This window comes from Homo sapiens, chromosome 2 (assembly GCF_000001405.40).
Source record: "Homo sapiens chromosome 2, GRCh38.p14 Primary Assembly".
In the NCBI taxonomy this organism is placed as follows: domain Eukaryota; kingdom Metazoa; phylum Chordata; class Mammalia; order Primates; family Hominidae; genus Homo; species Homo sapiens.
This window is the reverse complement of record NC_000002.12, coordinates 124,809,927-124,830,146: the sequence shown is the minus strand read 5'-3', so window position 1 is coordinate 124,830,146 and position 20,220 is coordinate 124,809,927. Positions and strand designations below refer to the sequence as shown.

The following is a 20,220-nucleotide window of genomic DNA, read 5'->3' as shown; positions in this document are numbered from 1 at the left end:
GACTTATTAGGTAGATTGTATAGAAAATATTATCAAATGATAAATAATCTAGATCCTCTTTCCATTATATTTATGGGTATGTTATTGCTATAAATCACATAAAATATATAAATTCATAGAAATCTAATATGGTATCAGCTATAATTTTGATTATGTTAAATCTTTTCTAAAATTATATTTTTATAAATGTTATTAATGTGAGTATTCTAAAGACTACATAAACTTTATAAAAGTTTGATTTTTCTGATGTGGCACTGTCAGTCATGATTCTAATTATCTTAGTATACTGCATATAATAGAAATAACTAGATGTTCTTGTCAACTGGGAACTTTCATCATATTTTAATCATGGCTATTCAAAGTTTTCATCATCCACAGTATTATTTTGAAGTATTCTCTAAAAACATTTATAATAAGCTCTAGGTCAAATTTTTTCATAAATAATAATAAATATGGATACTAAAAAGGAAAAAACATAGTACAATTAATGAAAAAATATGCAAATGCATGTTCCAATTTTGTTGCATGATTATCAATTTTTTTTTTTAATTTCTAATTTGTAACTGATAGTGATGCTATTATGTATATACCACTATGTATAATCTCTAGTATCCTTGTATAGTCCTGTTGAGATGTTATGTTAGGTGCAGGGAAATGTCAGGAAAGAAAATCAGATTATGCTAGTTAAAAAATAGAAGATATTCAAAATATGCTTTCCAACAAATAGGAAAGTAAGCATGCTGCCCAATTCCTTACAAATACAAATGAAGATCACCGACCTTCCTAAGGAAAGAGTCTTCCTAGCTATGTGGAACAATCCATACTGGTTCTGTAAATGCAACCAGACAGTTGATTTATGATCAAAGGGGGGATCTTGTGAGACAAAATGGCAAAGGGAAGAAGCCCTTTTGGCCCTTTTCAGCTTGCCAGCATAATTTCACAAGCCCCTGACTCTGGAATGATGTATAGCTCTCCAGACACTTTGAAGACAAAACAGGATAGGGCACATGGCCCCCCACATCTCTTGCCCGAGTCACTATATTCCTTAAAGTATGAATGACCCTAGCCCTTGCCTTTTCTTGCACATAAGATGACATCTGATAGGGTTAATGATTGTGCCTTTGTAATCTATGACCAGAGGTACTCTTACACCAAAACCTTGGTGTGATTCTGGTTTGATGTCACTTGTGAGCAATTTTGATGTGATTTTGCATTTACTGAACCCCCACCCCCATATGTAAGCTGTGGGCTGAAACACTGTGTCAGAGAAGTCTGACAGCTTCTCTGAAGGACCACTCTGGGGCTATAGTCCTCATTCTATAGTCTTCAGTAAGACTTTTGAACAAAACTTACTTTAATGATTTAAGTGATTGATTTTTTTTTTTTTTTTTTTTTTTTTTTTTTTTTTTTTGCCAACACTTGCATTGGTCTGCAAGGCATATAGTAGGTCCTTGGTAAACATTTGTTAAGCAAATATTTGCCTTATACTTATAGAGAAGCCATTTCTCAGGCTAATCCAACTATTCAAACACAGCTTAGATAGGACTAAGAAGAGAAGGGAATTCAAATATTTTGAAAACCTACGATATGGCAAAGCATGGTTTTAGTTATTCTGTGCATTCATCCTTAATAACTTATGTATTTTTATTTTTGTTTTTTGTTTTTTGAGATGGAGTCTCACTCTGTCACCCAGGCTGGAGTGCAGTGGCACGATCTCAGCTTGCTGCAAGCTCCACCTCCTAGGTTCACGCCATTCTCCTGCCTCAGCCTCCCAAGTAACTGGGACTACAGGTGCCTGCCACCAAGCCAGGCTAATTTTTCTTATATTTAGTAGAGATGAGATTTCACCATGTTAACCAGGATGGTCTTGATCTCCTGACCTCGTGATCCGCCCGTCTCGGCCTCGCAAAGTGCTGAGATTAGAGGTGTGAGCCAACGCGTCTGGCCAATACCATATTTTTTAAATAACAAGTAGACATTATTATCAAACTTTACAACCTTTGAAAAAGTCTTTGAGAGATTAAATAGTTCTTGCAAGATTACAGCAGTAGTGGACTCAGCTGTCAAACTACAACATTTTTCCTGTCACTCAAGGCTGACATCCCTGTCCATGGCACACTGGGTGCAAGTGGGAGCAACTCAAAGGAAGAGCAGCTTGGAGCTGAATTGGAAACAATTTACTCTACCAGTTTACCCAGAACAGGAAAAATCAGAGGCAGCAAGTTGAAGAGTTTCTAGGATACGAAGAGCCTTGGTCCAAGAAAACAGACAACAAGGGAAGTGGGGGAAGAAAACACAGAAACTACAGAACACAGACAAAAGAACTCACCTGCCTTAAGTATTACTCTATTATGGCATACAATAAGCATTAATGTTTATGAGCCTAACATAGAGCTACTTATGAAAAGCTACATCATATTTAGTTGGTAATTACGATAAAAAAGGAAAATGTATTATACGAAACAAACACTGAACTAGTAGTATTTTATTTACAAATCAAAAAAATATGTAAGTGGACTATGTTCGTCTTCACTTCCTTCCTCTAACCTCAGATACTGTGACACCAGGGTTCAAGATGGAGGCGCTGCTGTCTGTCATGTGGGTTAAGTCTCATCAAGGAACATGACAGAAGAAGGATGTCTCAGTTCACGTGGGTTATGCTGGAGGACAAAACATCAGATTTAGAAGATCTCATGACTTTTTTCATCACATCTGCAGAGACACTGGAGTGCACTGACTTGGCTGCTCAGAGAGGACCAGTACAAGGACTTTAACTGACCCAGACCCACCTGGTCAGTGAGATTTGAGGGGAATCCATCCTGAAAACCCCTGTGACTCGCCACCAGCACACAGTGTGCCACAGGATGTGGTGGGGAAGCTTGCTTGGTAATGCCAATGTTTTCTAGCGGGAAGAATCTTTGTAGGCCAGGTGCGGTGGCTCATATCTATAATCTCAGTACTTTGGGAGGCCGAGACAAGATGATCACTTGAACCCAGGAGTTTGAGACCAGCCTGAGCAACACAGGGAGATCCTGTCTCTAAGGAAATAATAAAAAATATTAGGTGGGTGTGGTGTTGCAGGCCTGTGGCCCTAGCGACTCAAGAGACTGAAATGGAAGGATCGCTTGGGCTTGGGAGGTTAAAGCTGCAGTAAGCTCTGATTGCACTGGTATTCTCCAGCCTGGGTGGCAGAACAAGACCCTGTCTCAAGAAAAAAAAGAAAGAAAAGAAAAAAATTTTCGTAGATACTTACTTATTGACAACCAGCCTTTCTGGGGCTCATCACAGATGCAATCAAACAGGATCTTCAGGAAGAGGTCTGGGAAGGTACACATTTACCTGCTGCTCAGGTGAGCGCTATCTCAGGGGTGTTTCAGAAATAGTGTCTGGCTATAATAGCAGATTTTCAAATAGGAGGATCACCTAGAGGGTTTGTTAAAATACTGAAAGGTGGGCCCTACCCCATAGCTTCCAGTTTTGCAGATGTGAGAGGGTAGGGGTTGGAGGGGAGCATCAGAATTTGCATTTCTAATGAGTCCACAAGTGAAGCTCCTTCTGTTGGTCCAGAGACCACACTTTGCAAACCCTGTGTAGCCCTGGAGCAAAAGACAGGGGAGAAGAGGGAAACTTATTCTGGGCTTCATCCCAGAATAAAGTGATCAGGGGCCAGGGAGGGGCTGGGAATCTGGCCTGGAAGCTCCACACTTCATCTAATTCCCCACCTTCTCTCTTTACCTCCCACTCATCCCTGAGTTTTCTTAACATCCCACTCTCCCAATGGTAAGCCTACTCAATCAAAATTTGAACCTCTATGGGCCCAATCTGACACTAAGAAAGGCTGTGAAACTTACCAAAGACTTTCACCTTCACAAGGAACCCAGGAAATTAGAATTAAAACAGCAAGACAAATACTTTGGAAAGGTTTCAAATATGGTAGAAATATGGTTATAAAGTTTCTTAAACTAAGGTACTTCTTTTGATATTTAATAATTAATGTAGTAATAACTCAGTAAGATCTCAAGATCCAAATGATTCAGTTTTTTTTTTAAAAACTACTTGAGGCTAATATATTAATTTCATTATGCAATTATGTTTGTTATATAAAAAACAGAGCATACTAAAATGCAAGCATATCCAGTAGAAATATTTCAGTCTCTATAATTTACTTTTATTAAGTAAGCCAAAATGAGTTACAATAACTCCTGAGCCTTCTTAATCTTCTACAGTTACAGACACTTGTGAGCTTCTAATACAAGCTATGGGTGCTGTTCATAGGAAATTCCAACAGATACAAAGCATGGGATGTAATTCAGGGGTTCCTGGATATCCTGGATGGGATCATCGTCATGCCCCGATCCCAAGAATGCTTGGTGTAGTACAGCAGCAGGTCTTCCACAAAAATAAAGTATATGATTTCTGCCTTCTCCCCAGATTCCAGAATAAAAAGAGACTTTTGATCAGCAGCCCCTTCCAGGCCCTAAAGTATAATCCTCCCCTCCCACAAGTGTTTCCCATTTCAAAAGCTGTTCTGATTAAGAATGAGTTCCTATCCAAGCAGGAAAGTGCCATTAGGATGCATTCATTTCTCACCCTGAAGATTCTGCTTCCTGCCTTGTGAGGGACTCACTCTCACTCCACCCACAGTATAAGAGGTGTTCTATAGTTAAGGTCAACTGTCTAAGGTGCTGTTCATAGCTTTGTCTTGTTATTGTAAGGGACCTTCTTGAGGGAGAGTCAGTTTAAATGGGACTTTGAGATAAATAATTACATAGAAACATCCCCTGTGTTATCACACTTATCCCTGGGCACAAGCAAGTATTCATTGGAGATGATAAAAATCTAAAAAATAAATACTATTGGAAACAGGTAAATTACTGTTCTTCAATTACTTTAAGAAAGTAAATTTGTTATCCTTATTAAAGGTAAGAGGCATACATACACTATGCCTTGTATACAAGAAAATAGAGTGTAGATAGACCATAGCAGAATGCGGTATATTTACCAAACACTCTCAGTATATATAGTTAAAATAGTTATCTCAATTTATCTAATAATTATCAGGTTTTTCTATTGTCCTCTTCATTGACCATTCTCTTATTTTTACAATAGTTAAGAATATGTAAGTAGTTGAAATATTTGTAATATGAATAGAAGTCTACCGTTTTTAGGAGGAATAAAAGGGTGGACTGAAAAGAATATGAATGTCAACTAATCTTTGTTTCATTTCTGAAAGCTTGTAAGAGTATGCTAAATCCAGGAGTACAAGATGGATTGGAACGTGTATAAATTAATAAATAAGGCATAAAATCTTTGCTTGTGTGACAGTCCTGTAGGAATTAGTCCTGCAATTAGTTTACAGATTAGGACTGGTAGGACATTAAGAGAAGCCTTCTGTTTCTTGTTTTACTACCCCAGGCAGACACTACTGATCGTGCTCTGCTTCCAGCTGGGAGCAAAGTGGCTCCAGTATTATTCCAAGAGCAGTCAAAACCAATCAATGGGAGTTGCCATGAGCATCACCATGCTGGGACAAGATATTACTTAAGTAATTGACAAACCATGGATTTTTTTTCATGCTAACCTTCACCAGATGCCATTACTGAGTGAAGCCTCCCCTGATCTCTTAGCTTTGGGCATCCTTCAGAGTGAGATTCTGGCTAATGAACCCCTTTCCATGGACACGATGGATTAAACATCATAGTGAACTGTTTCATCACAGATTTTTGTTTATTTCTTTTAATCAAACAGTCAGAACCTGCCAACAACATGCTATTTTCTGTTTGAAAGTACAGCAGAGGAATAAGCAGCAAACTGGTTCTGACATGTTAGTATGAAAATTGAAAATAACATGCGAAGATGGTAAAAAGGGAGGATGACTCCCCAGATGGCTTTGGGAAAGAGCATGGTCACTCATCTAAAAGAACATAAGGGCCAGGCATGGTAGCTCATGCCTGTAATCCCAGAATTTTGGGAAGCCGAGGAGGGCAGATCACCTAAGGTCAAGAGTTCAAGACCAGCCTGGCCAACATGACGAAAACCCATCTCTACTAAAAATACAAAAATTAGCCTGGCATGGTGGTATGCATCTGTAATCCCAGCTACTTGGGAGGCTGAGGAAGGAGAATCGCTTGAACCAGGAGGCAGAGGCTGAAGTGAGCCGAGATCCCGCCATTGCACTTCAGCCTGGGAAACAAGAGTAAAACTCCGTCTCAAAAAAAAAAAAAGAAAAAAAAAATCAGAACTGTCACTCATGGCCAGCCCTATGTTGCAGTTAGCAACTGCATCAGTGAGAATAATGACAGCAACTCATCACCATGCACCAGATACCTACTTGGCAGCAGAAACTTGCTTGGCATTTCACATATACTGTGCTCAGTCTATACAATGCCCTCCATGGTTCTGTGGCTATTACAAATGGGCATCCTGTGGTTCAGAAGTGTTCAGGGACTTCTCTAAGGTCACCTAACTGGTGAGGTGTCAGAGTGGTGACTCATCCATAGGTCTGCCTGTACAACTCTTTAGTGTGATAAGGGCACCAAAGAACAATGTGAGCAGGGACACTGATGATGTCCTTCTCATGTTTGTAGATGTTTACTGATTAGTAGAATGTGTCATGGCTGGTTTGCAATAAAATCAAGGTTAAACAGATGCTTGTCAACCTTAGTCTGTTACTCTTTCTGTACGTAACCAGTAGGGCATGGAGCTGGTGTGGTGACGGTCTTTGAAAGGTGAAATGTGTGAATGGTAAGAAAAGGAGACAAAGCATTTGATAATGGTTTGGCTTTAGAAAGAGATCTCGACATCCAACACGATAGTTTGTAAATATATAGTGAATGGCTCTAAAGATCAACAGGACAATGAAATATTAGTTCAATAAGCACTAGATCTGGTGTCTTAGGTAGCTTTCCCAGAATCATCCCACAAGGAAATGTCCGTTCTAAGCCTACTTCATATCTGCACTTATCAACTGTAACTAGAGTGACCATATAAGCGGTGTGCCAGGAACAGCTACAAAGTATACCTGTTGTGTGAATGCCTGCTTTGGTGATAAATTATTGGTTGCACTAATCACAGCATTTATGATAAAACATTTCATTTTTTCTCTGTGTTGTTTGTATTTTGCAAGACTATGAGCTCGTTGAAGACAAGAAACATGCCTTATGCACCTCCATATGACCAAATTTCAGTGATGATGGTCACACATTGGTAGAGTTGGGACTCGGGAAATATTCACATGTTCCCAAAGGTCTTCCTTCTGACATTTTAACCTCAGATACCTCTACGTCAATATCCTCTGAGGTCAAGTTTTTTTTCTTTAAAATTTTTCTCAGCTAGCAAGACATACACTGTCTAAAAGAATACCCCATGAAAGTTTTCCATGCAAGCCAAGACTTTCAGGAAATGCTCTGCAGTGAGTAAACATAACATCTGCATTTGCTGTATAAACATCACAGATCTGAAGTGAAATGACTCAGAGTTTGCCTAGAATCATTAGAGATGTCGATCTGTTTCTCTCATTTCATTGTCTGCAGCCTTGTTTTTTTACTTTATTTAAAGAAAAGACTAAATGACTTCTGGATGTAGAAATGCTTTTTTAAAATGGCAATAGTACATCTCGTTGGAAGGGGACTGGTAATTGCATCATGTTTTCTCATGAACAACTCATGCAAAGGCAATCAGCTGATTAGATGATTTGTGTTTCATAAATACACAATAGTATGACTGTAATTATGTTTTTAATACACTGGTTAAAATTGTCCATAAAGCTAGTCTCAAAGAATGAGGGCAAGAGTTAAGACAAGGTTGTAATGAAGGAAGGTGAAGAATTTTAATGGAAAAATACAAATCATGAGAAATAGAGGCTCTCACATCAACCCTGTCTAAGCATCCTCACACCAACCCCCTTCCAAGAGGGCTGATAAGCTACACCTGGAGTAAGGTTCTAATATTGGCCAGGGAAATGAGCAGGAATATAAGTCCTGAGGCTACAGAGCACAGAACCAAGGATCATTCAGGGGTAAAATTATAACTGAAAGTCAAGCAGACAGTCAGTTGTAATAAATGGACTAAATGGCTGGGTAATGTGGCAGAGACTAGGGGCTCTGCAAGAAGAAACCCCACAACATGAAGATCAGTCAGTAAATATAGGATGGGACCTGAGAGCTTTCATTTCTAGCAAGCAGCAGGCATGTAGCAAACAAGTCCTGAAGACCTCACCATGGTGTTGCAGTCTAGCTGTAGGACCAAACCACATTTCTCAAAATTGAGCATACATCAGAATCATCTGGAGGACTGCGTAAAACACAGAGGGCTTTGCCCCATCCCCAGAAATTGGGAGTCAGTAGTTCTGGAGCAGAGTCAATGATGTGCATTTCCAACACATACCCAGGCAATGCTGGTACTGTAGGTCCAGGGATCACACTTGGAGAGCTACTACTGTGGGGCTGCTATAGCCTCTCCTAAGATCGAGTGGAGCTGTTAAAGTTACAGAACCAATTCACTGAAGTCGCTGTTCACTTATTCTACAAAAAGGCTAAAAAAAATAGGTAATTGGAACAGTTGTACATTGCACTCTACTCTGGAGATGGACCTTAAAGCGGTGGTTTTCAAAGTGTGGTCCCAGGATCAACATCCTCAACACTAGCTAGGAACTTGCTTAAAAAGAAAACTTTTTTAAAAAGCCCTATGCCAGACATAACAAATCAGAAATTCTGAAAGTGAGTTCCAGTCATCTGTGTTTCAAGGAGTCTTTCAGGTGATTCTGGTGCCTGCTGCCGTTTGAGCAGTGCTACCTTAGTGTAAAAGAAAATGCAAGTAGGGGAGGGAAAGAAAGTGGATAGAAAGGCCATATCAATTATCTGGAAATTACATAACCTGAGATCTAGGTCAGGCTCTTTTTCTCCTTAGTTTTCTGTCCCTCTCTTTTCTTATCGGTAAGTGGAGTGGGCCCACAAGCCTTATTAACTTACTCTGGTATTAATGTAGGTTGTATTATTGTTCCCAGATACATATTTACTTTTCCTATAAAAGGTAATTACACACCCTGGCTTATGGCCATGAGACCGGCCATACCTTGTGGGAACTGCATGGTTTCCTGCCTGGCGATGTTGGGAATAACCCTCCAACTTCCTTTGACAAAGAGCCTGTGAGCACAAACTGTGAGAACCACTGCATATTTCCACAAGTTTGTTCACTCTTTTCTTCTATCTTGAGAAATAGAAAATCCTAAATAGAGTTATTGCTTCAACCGGGGGCTTTGAATGAAAAACTGCATGGAACAAAATCACAGAAGCTAACCCACAGCCAGTGAGATATAATGTGAAAGTAAGTGGCATATAATATTATTACAAGCTACTGAGATTTGGGATTTGTCAGCTATGACAGCAAATCAGATTAATACAGGCATGGTATACAGATCCAAAGAGATAATGCGCATAATGACTTGTTGAATAAATATGAGGGACTACCATATTTAAGAGAAGATTACAAATAATTGAAACTAGAAGCCCATCAACTCAAGAACTCCACTGATACAAGAACTCCACTGATAGGATTTTTGGATTGTACCTATTTAATGTTTGCTTCTCTTTTGCTTTCTTTCTCCCCCCCCTTTCCTTTGTGTCATTTCCTTCTTCTATTTCTCCTAAATTCGCTGCATTTTTATTGTTTTTTTTTTCCCCTTCCTTTCCACCTCACCTGAGGAGAGGGATTAGGAAGCAACTGGTGAGGGAGAGCAGGTCCCTTCTTCTGGGTCACAGATCAAATTGTGGTTTAGATATCATTATGGAGTGGAAAACCATCATTCTCTCAATGTGTGATAGAATGGGCCAGTAGTACTGGGACATTTACTGTAAATGGATTCAATCCCCAATTATTATGATGATAAAATCTCCTAATATTCTGAGACTTTCAAAATGCCTCAAATGTTTGACATCACATCTACCTTCCCGGCAAACAAAAAAACAGACTAAAGGCTTAATATAACTTACAATAGATAACAGCTTGACTCTGGGTGTGTAGTAAGACCAGAGTAAGGAAAGAAAAAACAATGCACACTCATGGAAGTTCTATTTGTTTGTCCAGGTCTGGCCCATTTCTGCAAGGGAGAGAATCTTCTCCCTTACATGTTGTTCTGCAAATCAAATAGCTGTGTGGCTCTAGAGCCTTAAGTTGATATGCAATTTCACCAACCAGGCTAAAATGCTGCAACAGGAAGTAAGGCAGAGCCTACATGGAGAAAGCATGGGGTCCAAGGGAAGAAACTTTAAGAAAGAGACACACAGTAACTGAGCAGCTGATGGGAAAGCCTGAGGGACATATGGCATCGAGGCCTGGATATTTTCTCTGCTTTTATTCTTTTGTCCCAGACTCTCTATTTCTCAATGTCTGTTTTTTCTTACAGTTTTTGGTGTTCTGGCTTCCTGGACCTCCTTTCCCTTCTGCTCTTGTTTCTTTCCTTTAACTTTGAGTGGTCTAACCTGGTTCTTAATTTCAGCCCTGAAGCTAAAGGATGAAATCATTCAAACACATCTCAGCCCAGCAGGCTCCACTGACCAACTATTATTTGAAGATAATGTTAATTTCACAGTGGCCTGAACGTTGCTTTCATGTAGGTGCTCCATTAACAGCATCACCAGTTGTTTACTCATTTTTTATAAGAAAATTTTGATGAAATTATGATGACAGATGATTAAAATTCCCAACAAAGCTCAGGTCATGGGGTCAAACCGACCCATACTGCCATGTTATTTGCTGGAAAAATTTTACCAAACAGAAATAGGAGTCCTAAGTGGTAGTGAAAATTCAATATGACTAATGTAAAAGCTAAACCAGACTTTCAATCATTCAGTCAACTGAATACTGTAGTGAATATCTACTCTGTGCTAAACTCCATCCTAGCTACAAAGGACAACATCTGTGCCCTCCAAAGCTTACATTAAGGTTTGGATGACAGGCAACAAACAAATAAATTAAGAATATAATTCCAGATAACAAGCTGATGAAGAAACACCAAGCCAAGTAGAAGGCAGAGAGTGAAGGTTGGGGCTGATTTGGAGATGGCATGGTCTCTATAAGCCCCACTCCTTGGGTTCCTCAAATGGCAGCCTGTGGTCAGGGAAAGACTGCCAGACAAGGTGACATGTAGGGCCCAGACAAGGGATCTACATGAAACTGAGCTAAATGGGTTTGCACATAGAGAAAGTTAGTGTAAAACCCAAAACAGTGGCCTGCTGGGCACATCCTAGAAATAATGAGAAGGTCGATGAGCCAGGCCTATGACAGTAGGTGAAAAAAGTCTGGGATCAACTTTAAGGGCCAGATTGTGTACTGCCTGCTAGATCCAGGTTTGAGAGGAGAAATGCAGTTGGTCTCTCATGCTGTGAATGGATAGCTCTGGGTGCCCTATGGAGAAGAGACTACTGCAGTCCAGAGGAGAGGGCAGGGGGCCTGGGAAGAGGCTTGTGGCTACAGGAGCGGATGGAGTGGAAAGTGGGGGAGGAGATGGCAGCCTGCAGGGGTGAGGTGGTCAGCAGTGCTTGGATTCAGAATTTGTCTTGAAGCTATAAGTGAAGGGATAATCAAGAGGTACTAAATTGGAGATGTATTTTTTTTAAGAGACAGGTTCTCATACTGTTGTCCAGAATGGAGTGCAGTAGTGCAATTGTACCTCACTGTAGCCATGCAAACCCCCCTTGGGCTCAAGTCATCCTCTCACCTCTGCCTCCCAAGTAGCTGGGACAACCTACAGTCACATGTCACCATGCCAAGCTTATTTTATTTTTATTTTTGTAAAGGCGGGGGTCTCTCTTTGTTTCCCAGGCTGGTCTTGAACTCTTGGCCTCAAGCAAGCAATTCTGGGAGCCAGTTACCTAATACTTCCAGGGATCATGGTTGCTCAGTGGGGCTTGGAGGAGGAAGCTGAGGGACAAGTGAGGCTAAAATATAGTATGTTTCTGAATATCCAGACCTCTCTTTGAAGAGGGTCTTGGTGTGAACGCACTGTTAGGTGGGTGTGCACATATCCCTCAGCTTCCATGTCATATATCCCAGCATAGAGTGTCACATCTTAGCTATATCTGCAGCCAGTGCTTTATATGAGTTTAGCACAATTGCCAAGTGAAAACACGGGGCAGTGGTGGAACTGTCCGCTGCAGTGTGTGAGAATGTGTCGGTGGCTAACGTTGTCTAGAAAGGCAGTTACATGGTGGTAACACAAGACCGGCCCATTTGCACTCAGTTTTATTATTGTTTTAAAATTATCTGCAATGCACCTCCTTTTTATTTACCCCCAGGCCAGATTCACCCACCACTGCCTGCTCTCCACCCTGGTTATAACATAGGTGCCTAGTCAGAAGGTGTTGCCAAATTAGTAGAGTATAGATATGTTTTGAGCTGAATAAGGCCTCAAGAAAACAAAAGTGCATTGGGGGTTAGGTAACTTCCTCAAGTCACACTATTTGTACATGGAAAGACGTGTAACTGAATAATTTTATCCTCCAGTAAGAACTGTGCTGGGACACGATGACTCCTGAGCTCTTCAGAATCATCCAATGAGTTTTATAGCCTCTCAAGACTTTATACAACTCTAGCTATAATCTGTTAGAATAGACTTAAACATCATCAAGACCAACCTCATGGTATAGATTAGAAAACTGAGAGCCAGAGAAATTAAGCATCTATTCTAAGTTAACTCAGGGCTTTTGTTTTTTTTTGTGTGTTGTGTTGTTTTACTTTTTTTTTGAAGTATAAGGAATAATTGTACTTATGTCTATAAAAGTGCAAATAAATATAATACTCCATGCTCCATATGCTTTTACAAATGGAATGCATCTACTTTAGGAGACAGAACATTCTATCACCGTATAAATCCCCTTGCATTCCCTCATTCTCCCTACCTCCAAAGTTAACATTATTCTAAGAGCACAGATTAATTTAGCATGTTTTAAAAATTTATATAAAATGAATGTATAGAGAATGTGCCTTTCTTAAGTCTGTTTTTTTCAACATTAACTTTGTGAGATTTATCAATTTTGTTTAGTGTTAATATAAGTCATTCATTCTTGCTGCTTACAGCAAATATATGAGTATCTAGTTTTTAATAATAATAAGGACTACTTATGTGGGAGAAACACCCTAGGGTGGCCCTCATGTTTACACCCCACATAGAACCCCAACTTCTGAGTGTAGTTGAGACTTGTGACTTGCTTTAAACACATAGAATATGGCAACGATGATGTGATATCATTCGCATGATTAGGTTACATTACATTGCAAAAGTGATAGAATATCCTCTCTGTAATTACATTAAAAGACTCATCCATACATACATATATTTGCTTTCTTTTGCTGGCTTAAAAAAGCAAGCTGCAGCCATGCACGGTGGCTCATGCTTGTAATCCTGGCACTTTGGGAGGCTGAGGCGGGTGGATCACCTGAGGTCAGGAGTTCAAGACCAGCCTGACCAACATGGTGAAACCTCTTCTCTATTAAAAATACAAAAATTAGCCAGGTGTGGCAGTGGGCACCTGTAATCCCAGCTACTCAGCAGGCTGAGGCAGAAGAATCACTTGAACCCCAGAGATGGAGGTTGCAGTGAGCTGAGGTTGTGCCATTGCACTCCAGCCTGGGCAACAAAAGCGAGACTCTGTCTCAAAAAAAAAAAAAAAAAAAAAGTAAGCTGCAAGGCCAATAGGGAGTGCCACAAGGAACTTTCGTGGCCTTTGGGAGGTGGGAACAGAGACTGGATGGCAGCCCAGAAAGAAAATAGGAACCAAAACTACAAGAAACTGAGTTCTTCCAACAACCTAATGGAGCTTGGAAACAGAACTTTTCCCAGGGGAGCCTCTGATGAGACCACATCCCAGCTGATACCTTGATTGTAGCCTGTGAGCCCCTGAATAGAGCACACAGACAAATGGTGATTGGACTCTTGACCCAAGGGAACTGTGAGATAAGAAACGTTTGCTCTTCTAATCCAGCACATTTGTAGAAGTATTACTCAACAATAGAAAACTAATACAAGAACCCAGCTCCCCGGCTTCCTAGTATAGTGATTTTTATTCATTTATATTGCTAACGGTAAGACACAGACCCCTATAAACACTTAAATATTCTTTCTCCACAATCCATTCTCAGTAATGACCAATTTGGCAAACACAGATCTTGAAGAACATTAGTCCTGGTTTCATCATTTTAAGTTTATAGTGGTCCCTTACCTTTAAAACGTCATTTATTAATTGATTAGACACAAATGAGGAAATTAGTGGAAGAAGCTGAAGTTGAATATCGTGTCCCAGCACAGTTCTTACTGGAGGATAAAATTATTCAGTTATACACCTTTCCATGTACAAATGGTGTGACTTGGGGAAGTTACCTAAATCCCATTTCCTGGGAAGAATGATCTTAGAGGAGGAAAAGAAAAAAAAAAGAAAGAAAAGAAAACTGGAGTTGTATATTTTCATGACGCTATTTTCAGCATGTATTTCCCATAGATGCATCTTAAGCACTTCGGAGCAATGCCAACCAGGGTGCAATGTAGTTGTAAGTCAATATCATTACAACATAGGCACTTAACAGGAAGACATGACTGATGCAATACACCTGCTAGCATGAGACGAAAGCTCGGCCGCTCTGGGGAAATAAGTTTCCGATAGCCCATTTCTATTCCTTTTCACTTTGTCCTTGATTTATTGCCTCTGCCTGGCTTCAGCATGACAAAGCCTTCAGCTTTCAGCACAAAATGATATTCCAGACTCCACTAAATATATTTGTAAGACAAGGGCAGCCAACAAAATTAAACTGCCGGCACAAAGACTGGCTGTTATTTAAAGCTGGAGAGAGATTACCGAGGATTATTACTTTATCAAAAAATATTTCAGCTATGAAACCAGTGCTTATTCCTCCAGTACCTTTGGCTATGTGCTAATTCATCTCCCACCTTGCATGGATTTAGTCTTTCATTGCCAGTTTATTGAAAATTCTGACAAATGTCGATGGCCTATGTTGCTGGACACCCAGGCTTACTTAGTTATTGCTACGGAGAGCTGGAAATCAGGAACGTCAGAGGGGAATTAAGTGTGCTGTTTCTTTGATTTTCATTGTTGTGCTTTCATTTAGACTAGCAGGCACTTCATCTCTAATCTCATTTGTCTTTTTAGAGGCCCCACCTAAGGTGGGCAATTCAAACACCTGAAAACCAACAGTATTAGCATTACGGAGCTGATGACTTGATCACGTTTTTCCCCTCTCTTTGTTTTAATGCAATATTTTGCCTGTTTTAAATTGCCTCCCTTTTAAGATATTTTTCTCTCAGACCCTTTGAGAAGAAAAATATCTATCAAAATTAGAAATAAGAAGAAGAGTGCAATCCATTTTTATTATCTGCAACTTTTTTAAGTTTTACTCTCATTTTATTTCTGTGCTTTTAAGCAAGGTTGTTAGCCAATTTAATTTCTTCTTTTTCTTTCTTCACTGTGCTTTAGTGCACAACAAAGATATGCCAGTGAACTCTTTTGAAGATGAACCATTAGTATATGCTTGTAAAAAAGGATCTTTTGCTTGAAAAAAAAATGCCCTATTTTTAAAAGAAGCTCTTAAGCAATTTCACTAAGAAAAGTTGTCCACAATGGTGGAGTATTTATCGCCTGTAGACACTGGGCCCCCACATTGTGCTAGGCCAGGAGTGCTGAGTCCTGGAATTCAGATCATAGCAGTGGATACAAGTGAACAGTGCTTGTGACAATTTCTGTAATAGACTGATACAGAAAGCTCAGTTGAAGGGCTCTTAATGCAGTCTTTGGGAGGGGACCAGGAAAGCTTCCCAGAGAAAGTGACATGGAACCAAAACTTGGAGAAATTAGAATTTCCAGCAAGGAGGGAATGGAGGCAGGAAAAAAAAAAAAAGAGGATTCGAGCAAAGGTAAGAAAATGTGCAAAGACCTAGAGGAAGGACAGAACATGATGCATCCAATCATCTGAGCACAACTTAATATAGACAGAGAGTATAGTGGGGTGTAAGAATCATAAAAAAAAAAGGAAACTTCAGAGAATAACAAGAGCCTGGGATTGAGGAGAGTTTAGAGGTGAACCTGCAGGCAATGGGAAGCTATCAAAAAATAAGTGACATGAATATATTTGAATTTTTAAAAGATCACCCTGGTCAGAATGGAGAATGAATTAAAAGGGTACAGGCCTAGAGGTTGGGAGAAGAATTTGAACTCCGTGGCAGTAATCTAATTCCAAGATTAGGGTGGCCAGAACAAAGATAGCCAAAGCTATCTTTGTATAAAGAATTGAATAGATTTAAAGAGACTGTGGAAGCAGCTATGCCACATGCAATATAAGTATATTCAGTAAAGTGTGGTGTTTGATGGACTCCAGAGGGGTGAGAAAGAGGAAAAGAAGAGTGATGCTTGTTTCTGACATGGACATTTTGGTGAATGTAGAACATTTCCCTGAAAAAAGAAAAAATCAAGCAGAAGCAGATCTAGCTGAGGAGTTGGAGTGGTGGGGAGGTGTTGAGGTAGAGCTTGAGTTCATTTTGTGAAGTGTTGAGTTTTAGAGGCCTAGGGGACAACCAAGTAAAGTTGCCCCTGTAAGTAATTGAGACAATTCTTTTAAGGCCAAATAGATCTACCCAAGCTAGGCATATAGATTTGGGTTCATCAGGATACAGTAACCAGCTGAAGTTTTGGAAATGGGAATGGATGAGTTAGCTCAGTGAGGGTATATCTTTTCTTCAAAAAAAGAAAAAAAAAGAAAAAAAAAACAGGCCAGGCACGGTGGCTCATGCCTGTAATCCCAGCATTTTGGGAGGCCAAGGTGGGTGGATCACGAGGTCAGGAGATCGAGACCATCCTGGCTAAAATGGTGAAACCCTGTCTCTACTAAAAATACAAAAAAATTAACCGGACATGGTGGCGGGCACCTATAGTCCCAGCTACTCGGGAGGCTGAGGCAGGAAAATGGCGTGAACCCAGGAGGTGGAGCTTGCAGTGAGCCGAGATCACACCACTGCACTCCAGCCTGGGCGACAGAGCAAGACTCCATCACAAAAAAACAAAAACAAAAACAAAAAAAGCAAAAAAAACCCAGAGCTGACACAAAAAGTCAACATTTAAAGGGTAGGCTCAGGACAAGGTGTTCATCCAGAAGACTGAGAAGTGGCCAAGAAAGCTCCAATGCTCTTGTAAGGGCATGTGTCAATGAAAAGTCAAACTCTGTAAAATATTTGAAGAGATTTATTCTGAGTGAAATATGAGTGATCATAGATCACGACACAGCACAGCCCTCAGGAGACCCTGAGAACATGGGCCCAAGGTGATTGGGGTGCAACTTGGTTTTATACATTTTAGGGAGATATGGGACATCAATCATATACATTTAAGATAACCATTGGTTTGGTCCAGAAAGGCAAGACAACTCAAAGATGGGGCTTCCAGGTTATAGGTAGATCTACAATTTTTCAGACTGTTTGAAAGAGTTAATATCAATAGAAAGGAATGTCTGAGTTATGATAAGACGTTGTGGAAACCAAAGCTTTATCATGCAGATGAAGCCTCCAGGTGGCTGGATTTAGAGAGAATAGATTGCAAATATTTCTTATGAGATTTAAGGTCTGGGTTGATGTCAAATGCTAGTTGACTTTTCCTGAATTCCAAAAGTGGGGAGGGTATAATGCAGTATGTCCAACCGCCCCTTTCCTGTCATGGCCTAAACCAGTTCTTGAAGTTAACTTTGGAGTGCTCTGCCATAAAGGAGGGATTCCACTCTGATCACTGGGGGGTTGGGGGACTTCAAATTTTATTTTTGGTTTCCATATGTGTGCTCTAGGTAGCTCATGGAGATTAAGGCCTGAACCAGATCTGGCAATGAGGAGCTTCTTACTAGCCTTAGCATGAACTATTTAAATAAAATGTGCTTTACCATTAAAAAAAGGGTAGAATCATTTGTTTTATATATACTTATGTATTATAAATACATATATTATTTATATATTATATAATATATAAATATAAATTATATATTATATAATATATAAATATAAATTATATATTATATAATATATAAATATAAATTATATATTATATAATATATAAATATAAATTATATATTATATAATATATAAATATAAATTATATATTATATAATATATAAATATAAATTTTATATATATTATAAAAAATATATATATATATATTTTTTGAGATGGAGGTTTGGTCTTTTTGCCCAGGCTGGAGTGCGGTGGCACAATTTTGACTCTCTGCAACCTCTGCCTCCCGGGTTCAAGCGATTCTCCTGCCTCAGCCTCCTGAGTAGCTGGGATTACAGGTGCCTGACACCACGCCCAGCTAACTTTTTGTATTTTTAGTACAGATGGGGTTTTTCCATGTTGGCCAGGCTGGTCTCGAACTCCTGATTTCAGGTGATCCACCCCCCCCGCCTCCTAAAGTGATGGGATTACAGGCATGAGCCACCGCGCCTGACCTGTTTTCAATTTAATTATTTCATCATGCATTGTTCATTCATTCCTTCATTCACTCATTGAATAACTACATTAACTGAAAACATCAAAAAGGGGCATGTGTGCCACTGTCCACATAGTCATCTTATGTGTCTTCAGCCAATATCCTTTAGATATTTATACATATTTATTGGTAGGGAAAAAAACTAATTTTCTTTTAACAAAACTGTAAACAACTTTCTTTATAATCTAACAATAGATTTATTTGAAGCATTCAATTTTTTATCGAAGTAATACATTTATAAAGTCAAATAGTATAGAATAACTGAACATAAGAAAGCAGCTGTTGCCCCACCCTCTCGCCTTCCTCCTCACATGCAGTTATTTTAGTTCCATTACTCTTCTTATTTTTAACTCTATTTTACTAAATATGTTGTTATTTCTTGATTTATCCATTTTAGATATAATCTTTTGCCCACCCACATTTGTAAATAAGGAGCTGTCTTTCTGAGACCCAGTCACATAAGATTCCCTGTCATGCTTTCTGTATAGGTCTATCACCATTTTGGTGAGGTTGGTTTTCAAAGTCCTTATTGTTTGTCTGATATATGCATGCAAGTGATAAAGCTGGTATTTGTTACTTGCAGACTTTTCTAGGATCCTCCTTCCAAATGGCCTGTTTTCTTGTATCTCATTCTACGCCTATAGATTTGGTTTCCTCAACTTTAAAATTCTTAACATTCTGGACCAAATAATTCTTCATCGGGGGGCTATCCTGGTTTTACAGATGTTTTGCCGCATCCCTCACTCCCACTCACTGCATACCTGTAGCAGTCCCATCTTGACAATGAAAAATGTCTCTGTGTATTGTTAAATGCACCCTCCCAGAGGATCTGGGAGGGCAATAGCATGCCCAGCTGAGAACCATTGACCCAGACTGGTTTTTCTCTGTGCCTTCTGCATAGCTGCTATCCCGAAATACCTGGCCTGTTCTGTGGTGGGTTCTCTGTTTCCTGGATCTCATGTCTTTCTTTTTTATATACTTCTTTAATTGGGTGAACCACGTTGTGACAGGCAATCTTCATGATGGCATCCAATAATCCCTGCCTCCTGGTATTCACACCCTTGTGTAATTCTCTCCCAGGTTGGACTAGGCATCCCTTCTCCAGTTAAGGTTCTAAAAGACTTTAATTTCTGTTTTAACTGTCCTCCTGTGTCCTCCCTCTATACCCTTTCCCCCTGCCCTCCACTGTATCTGGGGAAGCCAGATGACATGCTGTTTAAGCAGCGCTATTAAAAAACCAGCCTGTCAAGAACCTGAAATCTCCTGTCAACAGCCACACGAGGGAGCTTGGAAGCAGATTATCAAGCTCTTTGCCCAGGACAACAGTTTGACCTCGGAGACACCAAGAGCTGGAATCATCCAGTTAAACCAGGCTGAGATTCCTGACCTCTCCCAGAACTATATAAGGTGATAAATGTGTGTTGCGTTAAGGTGCTAAGTTTGGTGGTAGTTTTTATGCAATATCAGATAATGAATGCATGCATATCAAGTAGAGTCCCAGGAAAGATATTTAGGAAGTCTTCAATAACGACATTACACATGACTGATAATTTGACTAAACATAGGATTCCAGTTCGCAAACCATTTCCGCTTAGAACTGTGGTGTTTTTCCACTATCTGCAAATGGCCAGTGTTTTTCTTCAGAAGTTCCATATCTGTCTGACTCCTGATTCATCTATCTTTAGGAGATTTA

General features: G+C 39.7%; 1 protein-coding gene across 3 annotated transcripts in view, besides 1 other annotated feature; it reads right to left on the bottom strand.

Annotated features, from left to right (window-relative positions):
- The window catches only part of CNTNAP5 (contactin associated protein family member 5), an 895,933-nt gene that overhangs the window by 91,073 nt on the left and 784,640 nt on the right, over window positions 1–20,220 (bottom strand). The gene's annotated exons all lie outside the window — the stretch shown is intronic.
- Window positions 2,463–3,662: an enhancer, noted in NCBI's record as "CDK7 strongly-dependent group 2 enhancer chr2:125584062-125585261 (GRCh37/hg19 assembly coordinates)". NCBI's record gives its function as "activates an origin of replication core promoter dependent on BRD2, BRD4, P300/CBP, MED14 and CDK7 cofactors, with strong dependence on CDK7, by STARR-seq in HCT116 cells {active_cell/tissue: HCT116}" and the evidence as "EXISTENCE:reporter gene assay evidence [ECO:0000049][PMID:35650434]".